The sequence below is a fragment of the Homo sapiens genome, chromosome 20 (genome assembly GCF_000001405.40).
Source record: "Homo sapiens chromosome 20, GRCh38.p14 Primary Assembly".
Classification (NCBI taxonomy): domain Eukaryota; kingdom Metazoa; phylum Chordata; class Mammalia; order Primates; family Hominidae; genus Homo; species Homo sapiens.
Window position 1 is genome coordinate 33,235,756 of NC_000020.11, and position 24,949 is coordinate 33,260,704.

General features: G+C 45.1%; 1 protein-coding gene and 1 long non-coding RNA gene across 5 annotated transcripts; one reads left to right on the forward strand and one right to left on the reverse strand.

The window, feature by feature from the left end:
* Positions 1–240: 240 nt before the first annotated feature.
* BPIFA1 (BPI fold containing family A member 1) lies at positions 241–7,551 on the forward strand. Of its 3 annotated transcripts, none has more exons than NM_130852.3 (9): positions 241–295; positions 1,942–2,116; positions 2,300–2,459; positions 4,048–4,155; positions 4,478–4,630; positions 5,630–5,714; positions 6,301–6,364; positions 6,732–6,806; positions 7,352–7,551. In NM_130852.3, the coding sequence occupies exons 2-8, from the start codon at positions 1,957–1,959 to the stop codon at positions 6,770–6,772; spliced, it is 771 nt and encodes a 256-aa protein (NP_570913.1). In that variant the 5' UTR covers positions 241–295; positions 1,942–1,956; the 3' UTR covers positions 6,773–6,806; positions 7,352–7,551. The 3 variants fall into 3 exon arrangements, with proteins under 3 accessions (NP_570913.1, NP_001230122.1, NP_057667.1); NM_001243193.2 differs by having other exon boundaries at positions 7,368–7,551; NM_016583.4 differs by having other exon boundaries at positions 7,407–7,551.
* LOC105372593 (uncharacterized) lies at positions 6,793–21,741 on the reverse strand. Of its 2 annotated transcripts, none has more exons than XR_936683.2 (3): positions 21,625–21,741; positions 7,330–7,730; positions 6,793–6,857 (listed from the first exon to the last, which is right to left on the reverse strand). It is a non-coding gene; the product is annotated as an uncharacterized LOC105372593 (long non-coding RNA). The 2 variants fall into 2 exon arrangements; XR_936682.1 differs by having other exon boundaries at positions 6,814–6,914.
* Between the last annotated feature and the right edge of the window lie 3,208 nt (positions 21,742–24,949).

The window sequence follows — 24,949 nt, forward strand, 5'->3', positions numbered from 1 at the left end:
GGCTCCGCTCAGGAAACCATAAAGTCTTGAGTAACATCCCATCTCAGGTTTTTCTCTGTTTATCTTGTTGACCAAATAGCTTAACTGTCTCACCTGCTAATGTGATTGGCAATTATTTACTTTGGAGAGCCCTGAAAGACACTGTCAGATTGCAGAATTCTCAATTATCTAGAAACCCATCACCCAACACATGCTTCCTCGTCCCCATACTATAAAAGAGGCTGACTCCTCGGCAGAAGTGAGTGGGGGAGAGAGAGGAGACCAGGACAGCTGCTGAGACCTCTAAGAAGTCCAGGTAAGAGCCATCCATTCTGTGGCCCCTCTGCTACCCTTAACGGCAGGGATCTCAGGCTCCTGCCCTGTGGGGCAGTGAGTGATCTTGATCACTCACTGGGGGCTGTGCAAGAGAAACAGACCTGGCCAATGTCAGGGATGTGGGGATGGCCATTTGCTCTGCTGTCCTAAGAGACCAGTAACATTGATATAGAAATGGGCACTATTAATGCCGTAAATGAAAGCCTCTAAGGCATAAGTTTTAGCTTGAGGTTACCAATGTGGATACAGATGATCCAAAAACCTCCTAAAATTCTTCACCCAATTTTATACATTTTGATGCATTTTTTCTGAGACTAGGATCTTTAGCTTCCATTGGATTCATAAAGGGTCTGTTGCCCAAAAGAGATTCAGAGGCTGTGGTCAAAGTTACCTCCCTAAGAAGGGCACAACTGGCTCTTTGGACCAAAGACCTTTCATTTCCAGCCTTCCACCACAAGGATGGAGCTTTAGCTGAGTCAGCCAATAGATGGAATTTTGCACAAAGTCACCAGTTGTCTCCAAATTGTAGGTACTAGTGCTGGCTCTGGACAACTCTGCTGGCTGCCAAATAGACCTGTGAGAGGTCTGCAAGCCAAACCTCAGGGGTTGACCGGAATTCCATCCAGGGCAGCTTGAAGGAGAAGAGAAAGGTGTCAAAATGATAGAATGCATGTTTGTGTGTTGGGTGAGGGGAGGGTTGGGAGACCTGCCTTCAACCACAGCTCTGCCATCAATTTATTGTATGACCTTGGGAAAGTCACTACCCCTCTTTGGTCTCCTGGTTCTTCTCATGCAATGAAGACTTTGATGGCCCCAGGAATTCCCCAACAAAGGTCTACATGAGATGGTGGCTGTGGCCATGCGACCCCTGTATTGTGTGACTTTCAAGGGCATCCACCAACCATCATGGCCTGAGCTCAGGCCAAAGGACTGAACAGGGATGATCTAAAACAGTTCAATTCTTCAGCACTTGCACGTTTAACCCTTCTCATTTGCTTTGTCTGAAGAGCAGCAATGATTCAAACCATTGAAGCAAGCCCGATTGGAGAATAAATCTGATGGTTACTTAATTTAACCGAGGGTTCACCTGGCTCTAGCTTCTAATCCTCTGTCCACCGTGTACTTGTGACCTTGGGGAAAGTTACCCACACTCGGTAGTACACAAGTGGGTTTCAAGAAGGGATGGGAGTATATTTGAAACTCCCAACTGCAAACTCACTTGACCTCTGTGAGCCTTGGTTTCTCCTACTGGAAAATCAGACAAGTGAACTGTGGGCAAGATGGAGTGAGGTGAGGCTGGGATTCTTGGCAAGAAGGAAAAAAACCCTCTTCTTTGGAATGTGGTGGAGTGGGGCTGTCTCCTTTTTAGGCCCCTGATCAGTGGTCCTCACCTGTGCAATGCAGGTAACAGGTGCCCATGTCTTAGGGTTGTGATGAAGATGAAATTGTGTAAAGTGGTCAGCCTGTTGCCTGGCAAAGAGAAATTGTTCAGCAGTATTAGCTATTACTAGTGACCCCCTGGTGTTCTGGGGAGCAAACAACCCCACCCCCCAGGTGTCAGGGCAGGTGGTGGATAAATTCCTCTCTGATACCCATGCCATGTTGGACTTGTCATTCTGGCCACAGATACTAAGAGCAAAGATGTTTCAAACTGGGGGCCTCATTGTCTTCTACGGGCTGTTAGCCCAGACCATGGCCCAGTTTGGAGGCCTGCCCGTGCCCCTGGACCAGACCCTGCCCTTGAATGTGAATCCAGCCCTGCCCTTGAGTCCCACAGGTCTTGCAGGAAGCTTGACAAATGGTGAGTTTTCAGGGGTGTATGTGTGCATGTGTGTGTGTGTGTGTGTGTGTGTGTGTGTGTGTGTGTGTGTGTGTGTGTGTCCAACCCTGCAAAGTGGGGAGGGACAGGGCTGGATGGGGGAGGGGGCCTGAGGATCTGGAATTGTCAGATCTGACCCCCAGAGACCCTTACACCCATTTCCAGCCCTCAGCAATGGCCTGCTGTCTGGGGGCCTGTTGGGCATTCTGGAAAACCTTCCGCTCCTGGACATCCTGAAGCCTGGAGGAGGTACTTCTGGTGGCCTCCTTGGGGGACTGCTTGGAAAAGTGACGTCAGTGATTCCTGGCCTGAACAACATCATTGAGTGAGTTGTCCTAAAATAGAGCTTTGATCTCCACCAGGGAACCCCAGGTGAAGATCTGCCAGCCCCAGGCAGTGACCCTGAAGCAGCGACCCTGAAGCAGCGAGGGAGCGGCCTGAAGATGGAGCCAGGACTCAGTTCTGAGACCCATCTCCAGTTTGGCAGGGACACCCGTCCTCCCCAAACCAGCAATGCCCTCAGTTCTAGGCATGTCCTGAGGCCCCAGCATCATCTATAATCCTCACCACAACCCTTTGAGGTCGATTTAATAATCTCCAGTTTGCAAATGGGAAAACCAAAGCACAGAGGTGCCTGTGTTCACGCTGCTAGAGTGATGCCAAGTGAGTAAGGCTCTCACTCTACTATCCTAACTCCAAAGCCAAGGCTCTTCCCACTACACTGTGGTCATTTTGTTCTCTGCACCTGTGAAATCCCTTAGAACACAGACGGCCTTTGATGTTAGCGAGAGTATAACCTGCCCACCTTGATGATATCAATGTGATGAAAAACAGTGTGATGTCCATGGAAAGGTCTAACGTGGAGTTTCCCATGAGACACCCAAGAGCTCGCAAAGCAAAAAGCAAGAATGGAAGCTTGATGCCAGTGAGCCGGCAGAGCCTGGTTCCTGGATAGGACTGGATCAAAGCCATTTCCAAAATCCTACCCACCCAGGGTCTCACTCCCTGACTTGGAGACAGACAGACTTCTTGACTTTGATTTTCAAATGTACTTGTTGGATGACCTGGGACAGGACACCCTGTCTCTCTGTGCTTGGTTTCTCCATCTGTAAAATATAGATTATAGAACCCACAGAGAAAGTGTATTGTGAGGACTGGAAAAGGTGTAAATCACCTGGCGCAGTGGCTGGCTCAGTGAATGGCCTCACCCATCAAATGGCCTCCCTGCTTGATGGGTGCGGTCACAGGCCTGGCTTCTCCTGGAGACAACAGGGTGTGATGATGGATGGATGGTTGGAAAGATAGGACAATGGGAGAATGGCTTCCTTCCACCCTTTCTGCACTCTCCCTGACTTCCTGCTCCTCAATTCCCATGATAAACATTGGTGATTGGCCACCTGACAGGGTGAGTGATTCTTACCCATAAATGTTTGTGCAGATTTACTTCCAGTTGCACCTGCATCATCCATTCATCCACTGACCAATCCATCATCCAGTTATCCATCCTTCTACCTAATCACTTACTCTTCCATCCATGTACCCACATATCCACTACCCACCTTCCCATCAATCCAGTCAACTAATATGAAGTAGCCACTTTCTTTGTAAGGCTCTTAGCTGGCATACAGGATGCAGATATAATCCAGACACAGTTGTTGTCCTGAATACCTCATAGACTGGAGATAAGGAAAGGGCCCTGTGTGTGTGTCAGATCTGTTCCAGGGCAGAGGCTGGAAAAGACCTAGTGTGTGACTCAGAACCCACGTGGCTTAGGCTGCAAGACTCCCCTCCCATCTCCCTATCCTGGGTGGGAAGCTCTACCTCTGGGATGGGTACTGTTAGGTTAAAGATGGTTTCTGGGTTTGGAGCTAGAGGAGCTAATGTTTCCCCCTCCAATATTACTCCCTGGACAGCATAAAGGTCACTGACCCCCAGCTGCTGGAACTTGGCCTTGTGCAGAGCCCTGATGGCCACCGTCTCTATGTCACCATCCCTCTCGGCATAAAGCTCCAAGTGAATACGTGAGTGGGTCCCAAGAGGGGGTGAGAGGATGGCTCACCGAGGGAGACCCTGGTGACCATGGTTAACCATAACGGGGGTATTGGAGTCTAACAGACCTGAGCCTCCAACTTCAGCTCATTTGCTGCTATGCTAAGTGGCCTTGGGTCACTTGGGAAACTCACTTGACCTCTTAAGTCTTTGTTTCTCCTGCTAGAAAATGAGATAAGTACAACTGTGGGCAAGATGGAGTGAGGTGAGGCTAGCATTCTTGGCAAGGAGAAAATAACCCTCTTCCTTGGAATGTGGTGGAGCTAGATACCAGTGGGGCTGTCTCCTTTGCAGGCCCCTGGTCGGTGCAAGTCTGTTGAGGCTGGCTGTGAAGCTGGACATCACTGCAGAAATCTTAGCTGTGAGAGATAAGCAGGAGAGGATCCACCTGGTCCTTGGTGACTGCACCCATTCCCCTGGAAGCCTGCAAATTTCTCTGCTTGATGGGTGAGGCCAGAGGAGCAGCTTATCCTGCCCAGAGATGACAGGGTGTGATGCCGGATGGATGATTGGAAAGCTGAGACAATGAGAGAATAGATGAGTGAGAGGCTGAAAGGGTGGGAAAATGGATGGGAAGGAGGGAGCGTGGAAAGATGGATGGATGGATGGATGGATGGATGGATGGATGGATGGATGGATGGACAGATGGTTAGATGGTTGGGTTGATGGAGAGAAGGATGAATAGATAGATGGATGGATAGATAGATGATAGATAGATAGATAGATAGATAGATAGATAGATAGATAGATAAAGTAGTACTTATTCCTTCTTAGACCAAGCTAACCAATTTTATGCTGGATCTAGCAACAAGAAATTGGAGTTTAAGCCCTGCATATTACAGGGGAATGGGGATAGAGGGCTTCCTGTGTGAACCTGGGTAGTGCTTCTCCAATTTAGTTCTAAGCTTACTTATCTGCAATATGGAACTGCACTGGAGTTATTGATAGAACCTACCAAGATAACAGGTGTGAAAGTGCTTTGTCCCAGTAAGGGGTAAAATAGACGTGGATCCTAACTAGGTTATTTATTTCAGTTACCTGTCACATGGGGAGACTGTGTCAAACCTATTACGCAAAAGTTGCCCACGTGGTTAACTTTTAATGAACACATACATTGGGCTTCACATGTGTCATCTCATTGGATCATAATGACAACTACATACTAAGTAGTATCCATTCATTTATGGACTCTGCAAAGCCTTATTGGCACCTGCTTTTTCTGAGAACCATGTGTTTATCCTACACATACCTGTGTGTTCACTGCTGTACACAAATGTAACTCCCTTTACATAAGACCCTTGCTGTTGGCCTGCACGTGGGTGTAGATAGACAAGGCTCGGCTTTAGTGACTGAGTGTTGAGACTGTGGGGTTCACAGTGGCCCCCTCTGGAGACTTCTCCACACCATCTCCAGGTCCCTGCATCACCCATGACTTTTCTCTTTCAGACTTGGCCCCCTCCCCATTCAAGGTCTTCTGGACAGCCTCACAGGGATCTTGAATAAAGTCCTGCCTGAGTTGGTTCAGGGCAACGTAAGTAGGCAAGGTGGGGATCCCCTGATCCTCAGGTTTTAGAGCTTCTTGCACTAAAACAAAGCCCTGAGCTAAGTGGGTCCGAGTCCCTCAATTTGATAAGTAACTTCCATTCATCAATCTATTTGTCCATTGATCCATCTGTCCATGTTTCTTCTTTACATCTTTCCAAATGCATTGATGAGTCTCTGCTCTAGGCCAGGCCCTGCTTGTCCACACTGAAGCTGAAATGGATTGGCCCCTGTTCTGAGAAATTGGAGAAGTTCCCTGTCCAGCCTTCTATGGCCACAGACAGTCTTTCAACCTATGCTTGGGTGTCTCCTATAACCAGGGCACTCCACTCCACTTAGAATCAGATGTGATGTCACAGGGTGAACACTGGGCTTGTTGTGTGATTTGGGGCCCTTCACAACATCCCTCATGCCTCCAGTTTCTCCTCAGGCATGTGTGACCATTGATCTGTGGGATTGCTTAGAATCACTTTCACACAGAAAAATGACAGGAAATTTCCCCAGAGAACCCCCACTAGGGATTCTGCTGCTCCAGGGTGCCACTCTGCCTAACTCTCCTCTCTGCCCCTGGCCAGGTGTGCCCTCTGGTCAATGAGGTTCTCAGAGGCTTGGACATCACCCTGGTGCATGACATTGTTAGTAAGTACCTGCTTTCAAGCCCTCTGTCCCTCTCTGCAGGAGCAGCAACTTCCCCCAAGGAGTTTTTTCCCTGCACACCCTAGGATACTAGGTCCCTCTGGCCTCAACTCTCTCTATTTTGGGCTTCATTTTCCCCCGAATAATCCAGATAATTTTGAGATAGACACCGTGTCTCCTGCCTCAGCCCTGACACTGAGGACAGCTGGGCTGGTTGGTAGAAGGAGGCCTGGCTTCCTCCAAGCATGCTGAACACAGTCGGATCTCCAGAGGCCTCCATTCCCTGGCCCCCCACCTTGAGGAATATGGACTCCTTCACGTTGAGATCATAACTGTCGTCTGTTTTTTTATTGCTTGTTTGTTTGTTTAGACATGCTGATCCACGGACTACAGTTTGTCATCAAGGTCTAAGCCTTCCAGGAAGGGGCTGGCCTCTGCTGAGCTGGTAAGTGCCCTTCCCCACACCCCAGGGTTTTGGGGGCTGGCTGTTCTTCTCCTGGTAGAAGGCAGACGGGAGCTTGGGACAATGACATCCAAAGAAAGAGACAAACATCTACAGAGGTACACACAGGGATGCACAGAGAAATCCACAGAAAAGCTGACAGAGGTGGAAGGATGCAGGCAGCACAGCAACACAGCTACCAAGAGAAACACACACACAAATGCCCAGACACATGGCCACTGATACAGATGCACACACTCTCACACCAGCACACTCACACACATGCACACATTGGTGGACTCACCACACACAGACACACACACTCTCACCCAGCACCCTCACACATATGCACACATCAGTGGACTCACCACACATAAGTACACGTGGATACACAGACACACTCACTCAAACACATGCTCACAGAGCCCTGACTCCAGGCCTGATGGCTTGCCCAGGGTCTCAGCCTCCTCCTGTCCCTCTGGGGCATGAGTTTGATGATGAGTCAATATCAGTAACGCTCACTGACCTTGAGTCTCCATCCTGATTAGGGTCTTCCCCCAACAGAACTATTTCTTGCTGCTCAATCCATTTCCTCTGGCCCAGCTTCCCAGTGCTCACAGATGGCTGGCCCATGTGCTGGAAGATGACACAGTTGCCTTCTCTCCGAGGAACCTGCCCCCTCTCCTTTCCCACCAGGCGTGTGTAACATCCCATGTGCCTCACCTAATAAAATGGCTCTTCTTCTGCATCAGGGGCCTTGTCATCCTTCACCATTACTTGAGGGCTCCTGGGTTGGAAACAGCCCTGGCCTGGGTGGTTGGGCCCATAGCATAGAGTTTGGCACTTACTTTGTAGATCTGAATAGTCTTGAGCAGGTCAGGGAGATGTTCAAGTGTGTGTGGATTTCAGAAGGCTTTCCCAGGTGTCCTTAGAAAGGGGGAATAAGGCATTCAGGGTAGATATAATACTCCAGGTACAGTTAATGACATACAAGTTTGCCGCACCACGAATGAAAATGGCAGATTTGTGTTAGGGAAATGCAAATTAGAACTACAATGAAGGCCAGGTGCCGTGACTCCCGTCTGTAATCCCAGCACTTTGGAAGGCCAAGACAGGCAGATCAGTTAAGGGCAGAAGTTCAAGACCAGCCTGACTGACATGGCAAAACCCTATCTCTACCAAAAATACAAAAATTAGCCAGGGGTGGTGGTGTGTGCCTGTGGTCCCAGCTACTCGAGAGGCTGAGGTGAGAGAATTGTTTAAGCCCAGGATGTGGAGGTTGCAGTGAGGCAAGATCATGCCACTGCATTCCAGTCTGGGTGACAAAGTGAGACCCTATCAAAAAAAAAATTAAATTTAATTTTTAGAAACACCCAGTAAAATGTCATCTCACACCAGTCAGAACAGCTATTATTAAAAGGTCAAAAAATAGCAGGTGCCAACGAGGTTGCAGAGAAAAGGAATGCTTATACTGCTGGTGGGAATGTAAATTAGCTCAGCCACTGTGGAAAGCAGTCAGGAGATTTTTTAAAGAACTTAAAACAGAACTACCATTCGACCTGGCAATCCCATTACTGGGTGTATACCCAAAGGAATATAAATCCTTCTACCAAAAAGACACACACACATTCATTGCAGCACCATTCACAATAGCAAAGACATAGAATCAACCTAGATGCCCATCAGTGATGGACTGGATAAAGAAAATATGGTACATATACACCATGGAATACTACACAGTTGTTAAAAAATGAGATCATGGCCTTTGCAGCAACATGGATGCAGCTGGAGGCAATTATCCTAAGTGAATCAATGAAGGAACAGAAAATCAAGTCTCTCGTGTTCTCACTTACAAGTGAGAGCTAAACATTGAGTACACATGGACACAAAGAAGGAAGTAATACACACCAGACCTATCTGAGGGTAGAAGGTGGGAGGAGAGTGGGGACTGAAAAACTACCTATGGGTACTATGCTGATTATCTGGATGACACAATTATCTGTACAACAAACAGTTTACCCAGGTAACATGTACCCCTTGAACCTAAAATAAAAGTTGGAAAGAAAAGAAGAAAATGGCAGATTTAAGAGATGTTCAGGAGGTAGATCTGGAAGGATGTGGACAAGGGCGTAGGTGAGGTGCGTGTCCAGTGTCAGGCTGAGGAGCCAAGGGTACCTGGGGATCTGGGAGGATGAACTGATTCCGACAGACAAAGTATGCCCTTAGCTGTGGCTACTCTGTGTGGAAATGCCTGGGACACCCGGAGGATCCATCCAGGAAGCTGATGGTACACAAGTCACCTACCGCCCATCTTTTGCTTCCTTGCATGCAGTCATACTGACCTCTTGTCAATTCTCTAAGTAAGAGGAGGACAAAAAATGACCAAGGACGAAATGAAAAGGACAAACTGGTGCAAAGTGTTCACTGCTGGGGGTTTGAGAAAGATACAACTAGAGTTGTAAGTAAGCAGCAGCTTCTTGATATCCTGGGTTGGAGTCATATTGTTGGAGGAAGAAGCCTGAGTTTCAGGTACTGAGAAGAGGAGGGGAGGTAAGGAAGTTGAGTCTGTGTATGCAGATAAGATTTATGAGGCCAGGCTCAGTGGCTCATGCCTGTAATCCTAGCACTTTGGGAAGCCGAAGTGGGTGAGTGGCTTGAGCTCAGGAGTTTGAGATCAGCCTGGGCAACATAGGGAGATCTCATCTCTACAAAAAAAAAAAAAAAGATATATATATAGAGAGAAAGAAAAATTAGCCAGGTATGGTGACATGTGACTGTAGTCCCAGCTACTTGAGAGGTTGCGGCAGGACGATCGCTTGAGCCATGGAGGTCAAGGGTGAAATAAGCCATGTTCACGCCACTGCACTCCAGTCTGGGTGACAAAGCAAGACCCTGTCTCAAAAAAAAAGAAAAAAGAAAGAAAAAGAAAGAAAAGAAAAGATTTATGAAATACTGGCTGTGAGAAGGAAAAAGAATGGGGCTACCCAGACTGAAGAACTCTGACCCCCCCTCAAATAAAAAATACATACACTCTCATTGTTGAGGTCTTTAGGGACTAGTCCAACCCTTTCATTACACAGATGAGATACTGAGGCCTTGGGGTTGTGTGAATGACTTGCCCAAGGCCACAGGGAGACAAAAGGGCCAATGAAAGACTGGAAACATCCCAGACTTTACAGAAAACCATGTCCCTTGCTCTTTGGAGACCTTGTTGAGCTCGTGAGAATGAGCAGATTCCAGTTCATGTTTCTCAAATCTCTGATTCTAAACTGGGGACCTACCCATTCCCCAACCCCTGTCAGACATCAATCATCAAGTCCAGACCTGCCACTATCTCCACCTACTGTTGCCTCCAATCAACATGGCATCATAGAAGGACAGTTGCATAGCTCAGACTTCGAGATTTGTTGTGTGACACCATCATGTGTCTTCAGGGAGAATTTAAGAAAGAAAGCATATTCCACACCCACAAAAGTTCTCTGAGCTCAGATGAGTAATTAACTCCCAGCAAGCAGCTGAATGAGCCTTGGAAATGTCCACCTAGGCACTGACCGGAAATGCAGAAGGACCTTCCAGATAGGAAGCCAGCAACTGGGGCCTGCTCGTGCTAGAGAGGCTCCAAGAATAAGCTACCTTCAGGTCCTCTCAGGGCAGGCACTGGATCAGCACTGAGAGTTCCCTGTGTCTGAGGCCCCAAGAACTGAGATGGATGGAGCCCAGGGACACACATCTAGAACCATCAGTGCTGGGCCTGCTGCCCTCTGGCCATTGTACTGAACCGTGTTCCTGCCTCACACCCATCCCCTGGCCATCTCTGGATATGATTTTCCCCCTGCTCCCCTGGACTTCTTCCTATAGCCCACAGAAGGGTCCTCCCCTCTCTGACAAGTTCAATTTCTAATTAGCTAATCTAGAATTCCCCTGGATACAAGACATCCTGCCAGGTGGCCAGGCTAGTCAAAAACATTTATGCTATTTAAAGAGTGGAAACACATTTTTAAAACTCTCTGGGATTATGTCAGTGAAAGTGGCAAAGGAAAGGTCTCTGAAAATTTTTTCCTACGTAAAAGCAATGAGAAAACTGACAGAAATGGTCTTAACTAACATTTTCAGAGCTCTGGAAATTAACCAAAGCTTGTAGCAATCTGGGGAGAGTTTATTCAATACAAATTATGGAGTCTCAGCAAGAACAGAGAGCTTTGTGGCATTTTAACCTCTCCCATCTCCCCATACTCCCGCTCCACAGCCAACTCGAAAACGAAAAGCCCACAATCTTTGTGAGAACCAGCAGCCCAGTAGACACTGGAGAGGTGAGGAGGGAGTTAGAGCAACTCATTCGCAGAGAATTGTCATTGTTTGACCGGCCCATTGGTTTCCCAGGAAGACCCATTCTCATGATTGTCATTACTTGACCTGACGCAGAGCTCCCCTGGTCTGAACAACCTTTTCCCCAAATACATTTGTCAAAAAATAACCAGAGGCAACTATTTAACACCACAGCTGCCTGAGGGGATGTAATATTTGGGGCAAACAAAAAACTAACCAAAAAGCTGACAAGGAAAAGCTGGGGAATAAGATATCTATATGAGCTTTGAAAATCTCCAACATACTCCTAGGGCTCTAGGAGGGCATGTGCTTACAGGGAGCTGTGTTTATGTAAGGAGTAAAGATTAAGGCAGAATTGTGTTAAATAAAAATTAGAAAAGGCCACTGTTTTGAACTGAGCTCCTGCACTAGGCCCAACAGACCAGACCAAACCAGAATGGAGCCACTCAGGCATGGGATCATGTAATCAAACTAAACTTTAGTAACAGGCCAGTTTTCCAACCAACCAGAGGGGGCCAAGTCTACCTGAGCCAGAGGGTAAGAAAGTTCCCTCTTCCTTAACCCTATAAGGAAAGTAACTTTGAGATGATCAATCTATTTTTTGTCCCCTGTTTCTTCTTCTTTTATACCTATAAAACCCACCTCTGCTCAGCCCACAGGAGCTCACAGGAGCCTTTCTAAATCTTTAGATGGGATGCTGCCCAACTTGCTAATCTCTAAGAAAAGCCCATTAGAACATATCCCTATGTTTAAGGTAAGCTTTGTGAACAGGGTATTCAGTACCTGTGGATCTCAACCCGCACTGAGGGTCACTCTCCTACTGGGGCCCCCATCAGATTGGCAATATGTCACATGTGGACTATTCATGCCTGGAGGGAAAGCTCCAAATACACGGGTGACAGGTCCACAATGTTTCAAATCCCCACCTACGGCTGCCACTGCTAATCTTCACCAGTGTGTTGTCAATCTAGGCACTACTAGGTACTCTAATGAAACAAAAAGGGGAAAGATTTGTTTCCCCATCCTCTACCCTCTTCTCATACTTTGTGGCTGGAGGTGTGTCTGTCTATTAATCGGGGTGCTGGCTGGCTGTCCAGGTATTACAACCCAGGCTGTGTGTCCCCATCCTGAGACTACCTCTGTGGACACCCATTGCCCTTCCTGCTTGACCCAGAACTTTCAGCCTCAATTGTCCAGTCCAGGAAGGGAGATCATGTACTGCACAAATTTAACAGGTCTGATAATGTTGCCCACCTGAGTAGAAGGATCAGATGTCCCTGGAGCCACTAATGGGACCCTAACATCCTGGAACTCTTTGGTCTCATCCACTACCCCTGTGGAGTCCCATAAAAGAGAGGTGCCCAGGGGAAGCATCACCACCAGATTAGAGTTAGGGGGCCCCATCTGGGGTATTATGACAGCCTGAACCACAAACTACCCCAGAGACGTGCACTCCTTAGGGAAAAAGAAAAAAAGAATGGTTGAGAACACGGAGATTGGAATTTCACAGGCACAGCCTAATCAAGCACTGTCCAGTCCATGTCCACCTCAAGCCCCACCAAGTTCAGTGTTTCCCAGCATGTGCTGCAGTATTTACTGTGCATCCTGCCCTAATCAGGCAAGGGTACCAGCCCATTAGCAGACCACCTTAATGTCCTTTCTTCAGTTGCTACTTGAGTTAACCGCTCCATCATTCATTGGCTCCATTGGCCCGCAGGTGATATGAGTGCAAACTCACATTCCATGAGTTTGAGCTCATTGTTGTGTTGCTTGGGCAGTAAAATATATTCTTTGGTCAGAGTAAAGTCCCACAGGTATCCAAAAACATGACATAGTTCTTTTTAAGAGCATCTATGGTAGTTTCAGAGTTCACATGGTGGTCTAGAATGGTAATACCACAGCCTGAGTAGGTGTCAATGGCAATGAGGACATGAGTGCCCATGGCAGGAGGCCAGAGGCCTGTTGTGGTCAATCTGCCACACCAGGGCAGTTTCTAGCCCTCAGTTAATGTATCCCAATTCCTCTCTTTGAACAATTTGTGCCCCTTAGCAAGAATCACAAGGTTGTACTGTGTCCCTAGTCTCGGCATCTTCCAGGATGCTCGTTCTTGCATCTGAGGCGGATGTCTTAGTCCATTTTGTGTTGCTATAAGGAAATACCTGAGGCTGGGTACTTTCTAAAGAAAAGAGGTTTATCTGGCTCACAGTTCTGCAGGCTGTACAAGAAGCACGCTGCCAGCATCTGCTCAGCTTCTGGAGAGGTCTTTTGTGTGGTGACACAACTTGGCAGAGAAGGCCATAGAGGAAGCAGGCACATGCTGAGAAGGGCCAAACTCAAGGGGTGTCCTGACTTTATAACAACCCTCTCCCGTGGGTGCTAATACATCCTCCCAGAACCAATCCAGTCTTGTGAGAGCAAGAACTCCATCACTACCAGGAGAATGACACTAAGTCATCAGTGAGAGATCCACCCCCATGACCCAAACACCTCCCACTGGGCCCCACCTCCCAACACCATCACTTCTGGCGATCAAACAAATGATATCCAAACCATAGCGGTGGACTTTCAGTTGTCGATTGTTGCTGGCTGTGGGGCACAAGCTTAACTGGCACAAGACTTCTGTCCACATTCCATTTTAAAAGGTCCTTTGCTATGATCATCCACAGGAGTGACAAACATTTGTCTCCTTCCAGGCAGCAAGCTGCTGTCATAGTTTTTGTTCCCACACAGGGGATTCTGTGATGGTTCAGTCACTCAGTTACCATTCTCCTGACCAGATGGCTAGGCTGTTGGCAATGGCCCTTGAGTCAGTGAAAATGTAACAAGATATGGTGGTAGAATGGCCCCCACAGCTGTCATCACTGCACATAATTCAGCTCATTAGGCAGAATGTCCAATTCCAATCCCAGCCAAAAGATGGCCATCTGCTGGCTGAGGGGCAGCTGCAGCCCAGTGGACCCCATTTGCCTTTAGTTTTGCAGAGCCATCAGTAAACCAGGTCATATAGTCAGTAGACACATCTTTGAATCTTGGGTCCCAGGTAGCCACAGGAGGGTTCAGAGCATCTCCCTGTGGGTTGCTTGGTGCTTCTGGGAAGCTGGCTATTTGTTCATGGAGTCTACTTGTCCTAGTTGACTTGGATGTACCATTTCCATTTAATGATTGAGCTCTGTTGAGCTTGTCCGGTTTTATTGGTGGGATTTGTAAGCACCCCAGTACAGGTTACAGCATCACAGGTGGCACTCCTGCCATAAAATGCTCAGTCTCCTCTAGTGCCCAATAGCAAGCAAGGAGTTGCCCTTCAAAGGGGGTGTATCTGGTGGCCACCACAGGCAAGTCATGTGTCCAATAGCCAAGAGGCTGGTGCACGCCAGTGGCAGTTTCCTGTTGCCACAGATTCCAATCAGCATGCTTGGCGGTCATGGACGCACGGAGTCCCATTGAGCTAGCAGGTTCCAAAGGTCCCAAAGGCAGTACCTGAGCCATGACTTGTTGAACTACTTCCAAGTCCTGCTGCTGCAAGGGGCCCCATTCAAAACTGGTGGTTTTGTGGGTCACCTTGACGAGGAAGGCCAAAAGAGCACCCAGACAGGGCATATGCTGTCTCCTGTATACAAATAGGCCTATCAGCTAATGGGCCTCCTGTTTATTAGTGGATGTCACTAGGGCCAACAATTGTACTGGGGATACTTTTTTGGTTTCCTATACAAATGACCCCTGGGACATGCACTTATTGTGCTGAGTCCTGGACTTTATCTGGATTTATAGTCCAGCCAACACCAGTTATTGTATCAATGGCCTGTTTTTCAGTAGGCCCTACTATCAGGATATCATTTATGCAATGGATGACTAAATCTTCTATGAGGACTTGGGCTTGTTGAGGGTCAAGCCCCACCCACTGGTGGCATATGGCAGGGGAATTGAGGTATCCCTGAGGAAGAATAGTGAAAGTATTATGCAGGCAGTTCCTTGTGAATGCAAATTGGTCACAAGGGGATTGAGTAAAAGCACTAACCAAGTTAATAACAGCACGCTAATCTCCAGTAAGGGTTCCCACTGCCTCAGTGACAGTGATGACATCTGACACCTCATGGGCCCAGGGCAAACCCCAACATTCAGCCTGCATTCCGTCTACCATCAGCCACCATACCCTGGAGGCTTTTCAATCAGCCAGACTGAGCTGTTACATTGACAGGGTAGTTTGTAACATTCCTACAGAAGCGCATCCCAAATTCACAGAGTAATATCCTCTTCTCCACTTGGTATGCAGTACTGTATTTGTGGAATAACCTACTGAGGCTTGGAGAATTTAAGTGGCAGGTAGAGTGGACACACCTCACTGTTACGGCTCAAATTCTCAGCTGTGAGGGGGAATATCCCCTCAGGCAGTGGTGATGTTCTGTGCTACAAGCAGCCAAAATATCAATGCCCGTAATGCACTCGACACAAGGAACCATGGTCACCAGCACTCAAAATGGCTCAAAGAGCCTCACTCGCAAGCACATAAGTACCACAAGCAGGTAAGCACCATGGATCACCATGTTAACCCCCAAACCATCCAATGACATCAGTTTAATTTTTCCCCTAAGGAAATCCAGAAATATTGTCATATGGGAACGAGTATCCACGAGCCCCAGAAAAGTCTGAATCTCTTTCTTTTCCCATTTATCTTGACAGGGGTATAAGATCATTGGTCTCCAGTGGGAAGCCAGGAGCCTTGGCCCCATTCCTAACTGTGCCATTCAACCTGAGACATTTGAGTCTGCAATATCCCTTTATCAAACAAACACACCATCCGGGCTGTATTAGACTTTCTGGCTTTTGTCCACATTTTCCCTTTTATTGTCAGATATCCTCTTCAGAGAATGACCTCATTTCAATAGTCTAGTTTTCAGCAATGCCTTCTGTTGTTCAGCACTTTTTGGAAACAGGCCTTACTTGAGGCCTGCAAGCAACCTGGACCAGGCAGGATTCCCTGCACAGGGCCCCCCATTCCCCCCAGACATCATCTGTGGTCCCTGGGACACCATGGGAGTTGACATTATGTTCCATTTATCCCTGGGCAGCGAGCACCTCAGTCAGTCTATGACCCCTCAGAGGAGCTGGTACCACCTTGGGCAATGGGGCTGACAAGCCCTTGCCTTTCCACCATGTGATGGTCTATTTCCTTGGCAACCCTGCACACTATGTCAAACTGTTAAGCTGAACGTCCTGCACCAGTGACCAGTCCCAGGGGAGAGGAACACCATGCACAGGTTACCAACCCTAGGAGAGGGCTCCAAACACTTCTGCCCATTTTATCTTGGTATGGGAGTCACCAAGGAAAATATAACACTTTACTTATGTAGAGAAGAGACAAAGCAAAATCAGCTTCAATCGTATGCATTTGTCCCCCATGCCAGCAGATCCCCCCAATAGCCAGTGCAAGGCAATTGGCTATGGACACCCCTCTCATGCCACGGATGGACTCTGACCCCTCTCCTGTGGAGTTAGAAATACCAAAAGCTGGGGGCATATCTGAGGGCCATTGACATATACACTTAAGCAGAACAAAGGGGCACACATTGAATCTAAAACAGGGAAATATATTCCCATGCAGGGCCTGGAACAGGCCACGTGAGCCCTTTATCTCTTGGTAAGGAAGTGTTCCAAGCCCAAGACCTGTTCTTATATGACTGAGTGGGAGTCGAAAGGCTGCATGCATGAGACTGGTTTTCCCAACACAATCATTAGCTGACCAGTAAGCTAACTAAGCAGACACAGCAGTAGCCACACATGACAAAGAATACAGACTTTACAGAATTTGTTCAGAAAAATCAGTAAACAAACAACTACAAGAACAAGTAACAACCAAAAACTCTGGAGTGGAGGGAGAATCCAATTTCTGAAACTGCCATGTTATATTATTTAAAATACCAGTGTTCAACAACAATAAAAAAATGAGATACGCAAAGAAAGAAGTATGACTTCCCAAGTATGACAGCCATAGAAGCTATCTCTGAAGAATCTCAGACGTTGAACTTACTAGAAAAAGACTTTAAATCAGCAAATTTAAAATGTGTTCAAAGAACATATGTCTAAGAAACCATGGCTTAGAACTAAAGGAAAATATCAGAATGATGTCTCACAAATAAAGAATATCAGTAAAATTACAGAAATTGTTTTAAAGAACCAAATAAAAAACTGAAGTTTAGAAGCATAATAACAAATAAAAAATTCACTAGAGAGGCTAACCAGCAGATTTTAGCAAGCTGAATAAACAGAAAACTTTTTTTTTTTTTTTTTTTGAGATGGAGTCTCACTCTGTCGCCCAGGCTGGAGTGCAGTGGTGCGATCTTGGCTCACTGCAAGCTCCGCCTCCCGGGTTCATGCCATGCTCCTGCCTCAGCCTACCAAGTAGCTGGGACTACAGGCGCCCGCCATCAAGCCCGGCTAATTTTGTTGTATTTTTTTTTTAGTAGAGAGGGGGTTTCACCATGTTAGCCAGGATGGTCCCGATCTCCTGACCTCGTGATCTGCCTGCCTCGGCCTCCCAGAGTGCTGGGATTACAGGTGTGAGCCACTGCGCCCGGCCCAGAAAACTTGTTTTAATTTTTTATTTTAATTTTTGTAGGTACATAGTAGGTACTATATGTCTACATGTAGTATATATAGTATATACATATATATACTACACACACACACACACACATATATATATTTATATGTATATATATGGTACATGAAATCAGTTTTGGTTTTTTGTTTTTTGTTTTTTTGATATGGAGTCTCTCTCTGTCACCCACGTTGGAGTGCAGTGGCACAGTCTCAGTTCACTGCAACCTCCACATCCCAGGTTCAAGCAATTCTCCTGCTTCAGCCTCCCTAGTAGCTAGGACTATAGGTATGCGCCACCACACCTGGCTAATTTTTTGCATTTTTAGTAGAGACGAGGTTTCACCATGTTGGCCAGGCTGTTCTCAAACAGCTGACCTCAGGTGGTCCGCCCACCTCAGCCTCCCAAAGTAATGGGATTACAGGCATGAGCCACCAAGCCCAGCCATGGAATGTTTTAATACAGGCACACAATGCTTAATAACCACATCATATAAAATGGGGTATCCATCCCCTCAAGGATTTATCCTTTGTGTTACAAACAATCTAATTATACTCTTTTAGTTATTTTTAAATGTATAATTAAATTATTATTGACTATCGTCAACCTGTTATGCTATCAAATGCTGGGTCTTATTCATTCTTTTGAACTATTTTTTGGTCCTCATTAACCATCCCCACCTGCCCCCATCCTTGCATTACCCTTCCTAGCCTCTGGTAACCATCCTGCTGCTCTCTATGTCCATGAATTTGTTTTGATTTTTAGATCCCACAAATCAGTGAGAATACACAATGTTTGTCTTTCTGTTCCTGGCTTACTTCACTTAGCATAATGACCTTTAGTTTCATCCATGCTTTTGCAAATGACAGGATCTCATCCTTTTTATGGATGAATAGTACTCCATTGTGAATAAGTACCATTGTGAATAATATCCATTCATCTGTTGATGGAAACTTAGGTTGCTTCTAAATTTTGGCTATTATGAACAGTGCTGTGACAAATTTGAGAGTGCAGGTGTCTCTCCAACATAGTGAGAATCAGAAAACTTGAAGGTTAATCAATTGGGGTTATCTAGTCTGAGGAACAGAAATTAAAAAATAGAATGAAGAAAATAAAAACAGAGTGTCAAAAGGCTGTGGCCACCATAAGCATGCTAACATACATATCATAGGAATTCCAGAACAAGAGGAGATAGAGATGGGGATGGAGGGAGAACATTTGAAAAAAAATTACTGGGCCAGGTATGGCGGTTCACACCTGTAATCCCAGAACTTTGGGAGGCCGTGTGGGTGGATCATGTGAGGTCAGGCATTCAAGACCAGCCTGGCCAACATGGTGAAACCTTGCCTCTACTAAAAAAATAGCCAGGCATGGTGGTGCATACCTGTAGTCCCAGCTACTAGGGAGGTTGAGGCATGAGAATAACTTGGACCCAGGAGGCAGAGGATGCAGTGAGCCAAGATCACATCACTGTATTCCAGCCTGAGTGACAGAGCGAGACTCTGTCTCCAAACAAAAAGAAAGAAATAAAGAAAGAGTAGCTGAAATTTCCGCAAATTTTATGAAAAACATTAATCTACACATCCAAGAAGTTCAACAAAATCCAAGTAGGATAAATTCAAAGAGATCTACATTTAGACATATAGTAATCAAATTGTCAAGAGACAAAGACAGAAAGAATCTTAAAAGCAGCAAGAGAGAAGTGACTCACCAAGTACATTAAACCCTCAATAAGATTAACAGTTGATTTCTTATCAGAAACAACGGTGTTAAGAAGGCAGTTGAATAACATTCAAAGTTCTGAAAGAAAAAAAAAGACTGCCAACAAAGAATTCTCCATCCAGAAAAACTAATATTCAAAAATGAAGGAAAAATTAAGAGATTCCTACATCAACAAAAACTGAGAGAATCTGACACTAGTAAACATGGCTTAAAGGAAGTCCTTCAGGCTGAAATGAAAGTGTACTAGTCAACAATTTAAATCTAAAGGAGGAAGTAAAGAACATCAGTACCAATAACTACATAGTTAAATATAAAAGACAATATAAATGTATTTTTTGTTTGTAACTCTTTTTGTTCACCTGACTAAAAGACAACTATATAAAGCAATACTTAGATGTGTCAATGAGCATACAAATGTATAAATATGTAATTTGTATGGCAATACCAGCATAAAGAAAAGGGGTGACAGAGGTATACAGGAACAAAATTCCTATATACTATTGAAATTAAATTCACATTAATTGAAATAGACTGTTCTACGTTAATTATAATTCCTAGGGCAACTATTGAGAAAATAACTAAAAATATATAGTGAAAGAAATGACAAGAGAATTAAATGGGACACTAGAAAATATCTATTTAGATAACAAGAAGTAATAATTGAGGCATAGAGCTACATATAAGACATAAAACATATAAAAAACAAATAGCAAAATGCTATGAGTAAATCCTATTCTTTTCTATCAGTAATTTAATTAAATGTAAATGGATTAAACTTGCCAATTGAAACCAGAGATTGGCAGAATGGATTTTAAAAACATAATCCAGTTATATTCTTTCTACAAGAGACACATTTTAGTGTCAAAGATAAAAACAGATTGAAAGTAAAAGAATGAAAAAAAAGGTATGCCATGCAGTGACCAAAGAAGGCTGGAGCGGCTATACTAACATCAGATAAAATAGACTTTATGACAAACACGGTTACGTGATACAAAGAACATTTATAACGATAAAGGGGTCAATCCCTCAAGAAGATATAACAAGTATAAACATGTATGCAACTAACAAGAGAGCCCCAAAATACATGAAACCAAAATTGTCAAAATTGAAGGAAAAAATTAAAAATTCAACAAAAATAGCAAGAAACTTAAACACACAATTTTCAACAATAGAACAACTAGACAGAGGGTCAACAGGAAATGGAAGATTTGAACAGGTCTACAAAACCACCTAGAGCTAACAGACATCTATAGAACATTTTTTCCAACAATAGCAGAATGTACATTCTTGCCAAGCACACATGGAGCGTTCTCCTATCAGAATAGAACATATGTTAGGTCATAAAACAGTTTCAATACCTCTAAAAAGATGGCAATCATACAAAGTGTGTTATCTGACCACAATGGAATGAAATTAGAAATTAATAACAGAAGGAAATTTGGTAAATTTACAAATATATGGAGATTAAAAACACTGTTGGCTGAGCCAGCTTTAAAGATGGGCTGGATACAATATGTGACTATCAGTTTCAGACTTCTGTAATAGAAAGCATCCTAGCTGGATTGCTAAGCATGAGATGAAGTTCTTGGTCAGGTGCAGTGGCTCATGCCTATAATTCCAACACTTTGGGAGGCCAAGGCAGAGGTTACCTGCAAAGGAAGCAAAACCAGGTTGGCCCCAGGTTTTTTTCCTACAGGATATTAGAAGACAAGAGTTCTCAATGGAGATGGGAAGAAGGCTGAGAGTAAAGGATTCAGATCAGCAGTGTTTTCATATTGCTTATGAAAGTAATAAACAAGAATAAGCTATCAAGTTAAGTGTTCAAGGAATCAAAAATGATCCTACACATCTGTCCATTTTTAAAAAGCAAGCAACTGGGAAATGAGTCTAACTTAACTTGTGATAGGAAGAGACACAGAATAAAAATGATCAATGATGGTTTTGGGAACCAGTTAAAACCTAACATATTTTAAAACTCCCTAAATTTGGGACACTACTACATGCCTAATTGGATGACCCAAAAAAAGAAAAAGAAACCTGACAATTCTGAGTGATGGTGAAAACACAGAGCCAGTGAAACTCTCATACATTCCTGGTGGGAATGAAAAACAGTATGGCCCCTCTGGAAGACGGTATGGTAGTTTCTTAAAATGTTAAGCCGATAAGAGGCAGACACACCAATATCTCCCCTTGGAGGCCATGGAAAATGAGTCATGGACTCAGGTCATGTGGCAGCAGCTCCACTATCACCTCGCCCAGCTTCCCGAGGGTCAGCCTAGGGCCCAGCTCCGCAGAAGATCACAGCCCCTGCATGGCACTGCAGCCACCATAGGCCTCTGCCCAGCAACCATGGATCCCACAGCCATAGCATAGCAAAAACCAAAGAACACCCCAGCATTCCAAATGGAACCCAGCTATTAACTGGAAGCCTGGATTGGTCTCTTTTATGGTCAGTTAGAAAAGAAAATTTAGGTCAGGCGCAGTGGCTCATGCCTGTAATCCCAGCATTTTGGGAGGCCAAGGCGGGTGGATCACCTGAGGTCAGGAGTTCGAGACCAGCCTGGCCAACATGGTGAAATCACGTCTTTACTAAAAATACAAAAATTAGCCAGGCGTGGTGGTGGGCACCTGTAATCCCAGCTACTCGGGAGGCTGAGGCAGAAGAATCGCTTGAACTCAGGAAGCGGAATTCCTCAGTTGCAGTGAGCTGAAATCACACCATTGCACTCCAGCCTGGGTGACAACAGTGAAACTTTGTCTCAAAAAAAAAAAAAAAAAAAGGAAAGGAAAGGAAAGAAGAAAATTTATAAATAAAATATGTTTTGTCCATTACTGCTAATGATCATTCTTCTTTTCCTTTCTCACTGTTTTTGTAACTATATAAAATTAAAATGTAGTAAAATGTGCACATGTTAAATGCATGGCTTTATAGAGTTTTAAACTTTATATTCCTTATAGTATACCACAGCCTTATCAATATATAGATCATGTCTATTAACACATAAAATATTTCCTTGTGGCCAGGTGCTGTGGCGCATGCTTGCAGTCCCAGCGCTTTGGGAGGCCGAGGTGGGCAGGTCACTTGAGGTCAGGAGTTCAAGACCAGCCTGGCCAACATGGCAAAACCCCATCACTGCTAAAAATACAAAAATTAGCCAAGCATGGTGGCAAACACCTGTAGTCCCAGCTACTCGGGAGGCTGAGGCACAAGAATCACTTGAACCTGGGAGGCAGACGCTGCAGTGAGCTGAGATTGCACCACTGCACTCCAGCCTGGGTGACACAGTGAGACTCTGTCACAAAGAAAACAAAAAAAAACTCCTTGTAACGTTTTAACCAATACCCACTCACTCTACCATATGCAGCCCCTGTTTTGATTTCTAGTAACATACATTATTTTAGCCATTTCTTCAACTTCATAAAAATTAATCACAATGTATACTTGGAAAAAAATGTTAAACATACACTTAACATATGACCCAGCAACCCTACTTCTAGATTTTTAGGCTAGAGGAATGAAATATGCTCACAACAAAACCTGTTCCTTCATGTTTGGGGATTTTTTTTTGGCGGCGGGGGGCGGGGGGGGGGCATTTGGTTTTGCGTGTGTGTGTCAGAGTCTCATTCTGTTGCCCAGGCTAGAGTGCAGTGGCATGATCTTGGCTCACTGCAACCTCCGCCTCCCAGGTTCAAGTGATTCTCATGCCTCAGCCTCCCGAGTAGCTGGAATTACAGATGCACGTGACCATAGCCAGCTACTTCTTCTGTATTTTTAGTAGAGACAGGGTTTCACTATGTTGGCCAGGCTGGTCTTAAACTCCTGACCTCAAGTGATCTACCCACCTTGGCCTCCTAAAGTGCTGGGATTACAAGCGTGAGCCAATGCGCCTGGCCGTGTTCCTTAATGTTTATAGCAAATTTGTTCATAATATCCCAAAACTGGAAACAACCCAAATGCCTTTCATTAGGTGAATAAACAAACTTCAGTACATCTATACCACAGAATACTACTGGGCAATGAAGAGGAACAGATATTGGTTTACACAACAACTTGAATGAAGTTAGGAAGAGGATCCGAATTCTCATTGTCTGCCTGAGGGATGATTTGATAGGTATCAAAGGTCAAGACATGCCATTATAAAGCAGGAAGAAGATATGAATTTTTATTTGTTTAAAGCTCAAGTTTGTGATGCAGATAAATTCTGAAAAATATAAAAGGAATAAAAACCCAGGAAACTCACTTATAGATCATTCATACTTTAAATTATGACTTCCTTCCCAATGTCCCTGCCACTATTGTTTTCAGAACCCTCAGAGAGCTTTCTCATTCACTGTGTCCAGGGTTTTTGTTTCATTCAGTAGGAAATACAGAGTGGAACGGCTTACTCCATCCATTTCCACTCTCCCGTTTGTAAAACGAGCTGGATTACGGCAGATGAGGGTGGACCTCCAGAAATTTAACACAGTGCGTTGACTGTTGTAGTATCTTTACTGGAACAGCCCAATGCAGCCTTAGGTACTTACTATGGAGCTTTTAATCTGGAAAATGTGTTCTTTTCAATACTCAAGGTAACAAGCTCAGAAGCAAATGGCACTCACTTGGGATAAATAACGGTACACACTCAGTCTTGCCCCTGCTCTCTCTTGTTCTTAAAACAAGTTATCCATGGCTGGGCACAGTGGCTCTCACCTGTAATCCCAGCACTTTGGGAGGCTGAGGTGGGTTGATCGCTTTGAGCTCAGGAGTTTGAGACCAGCCTGGGCAACATAATGAAACCTCGTCTCTACTGAAAATACAAAAATTAGCTGGGCGTGGTCCTAGCTACTCAGGAAGCTGAGGCATGAGAATTGCTTGAACCCAGGAGGCGGAGTTTGCAGTGAGCCAAGATTGCACCACTGCACTCCAGCCTAGGTGACAGAGTGAGACCCTGTCTCAAAAAAAAAAAAAAAAAAAAAAAAAAAAAGCTATCCATTTGTAAATTGCTGATTTCTTTAGGGCATTGGCTCCATAAACTTTTCATAAAGCCTCAATGATTTCACCATTCACCCATCCAAGTTTCACCATAAATTTGATGTGTATTCTTGCTTCAATTTTAGCAGGATTCATGTGGCTTTGATAGGGTTTTTTTCTAAGTGATGTCTTATCCTTCTTATTGCCTCAAACTAGATCCCGTTCAACATGTTATAACAAATTAGTTCAAGTTTATTTTGGTGCAAAAAGAATTTGGAAATGCAGGCATAGTTTCTTCATAATATGCATTTTCCATAAGCTTTTCGGAGACCTTCATAGGATAAGAGATCTATTGTAGAGATTTGATCTTACAGAACCATGGGAGTGGGTTAAATAGTCCTTGTTAGGCTGTTGTTTTGCATCTGGTGCTGGAGCTTCAACCCAGCAGGGCGGGTAGACAGGAAGAGGAGATGGATATGAAGTGAGGAAGAACAAAGAAAAACTGAAACCTGATTTAGGGTCTCTGCACCTCCAAGTCCACAGATGCAGGGG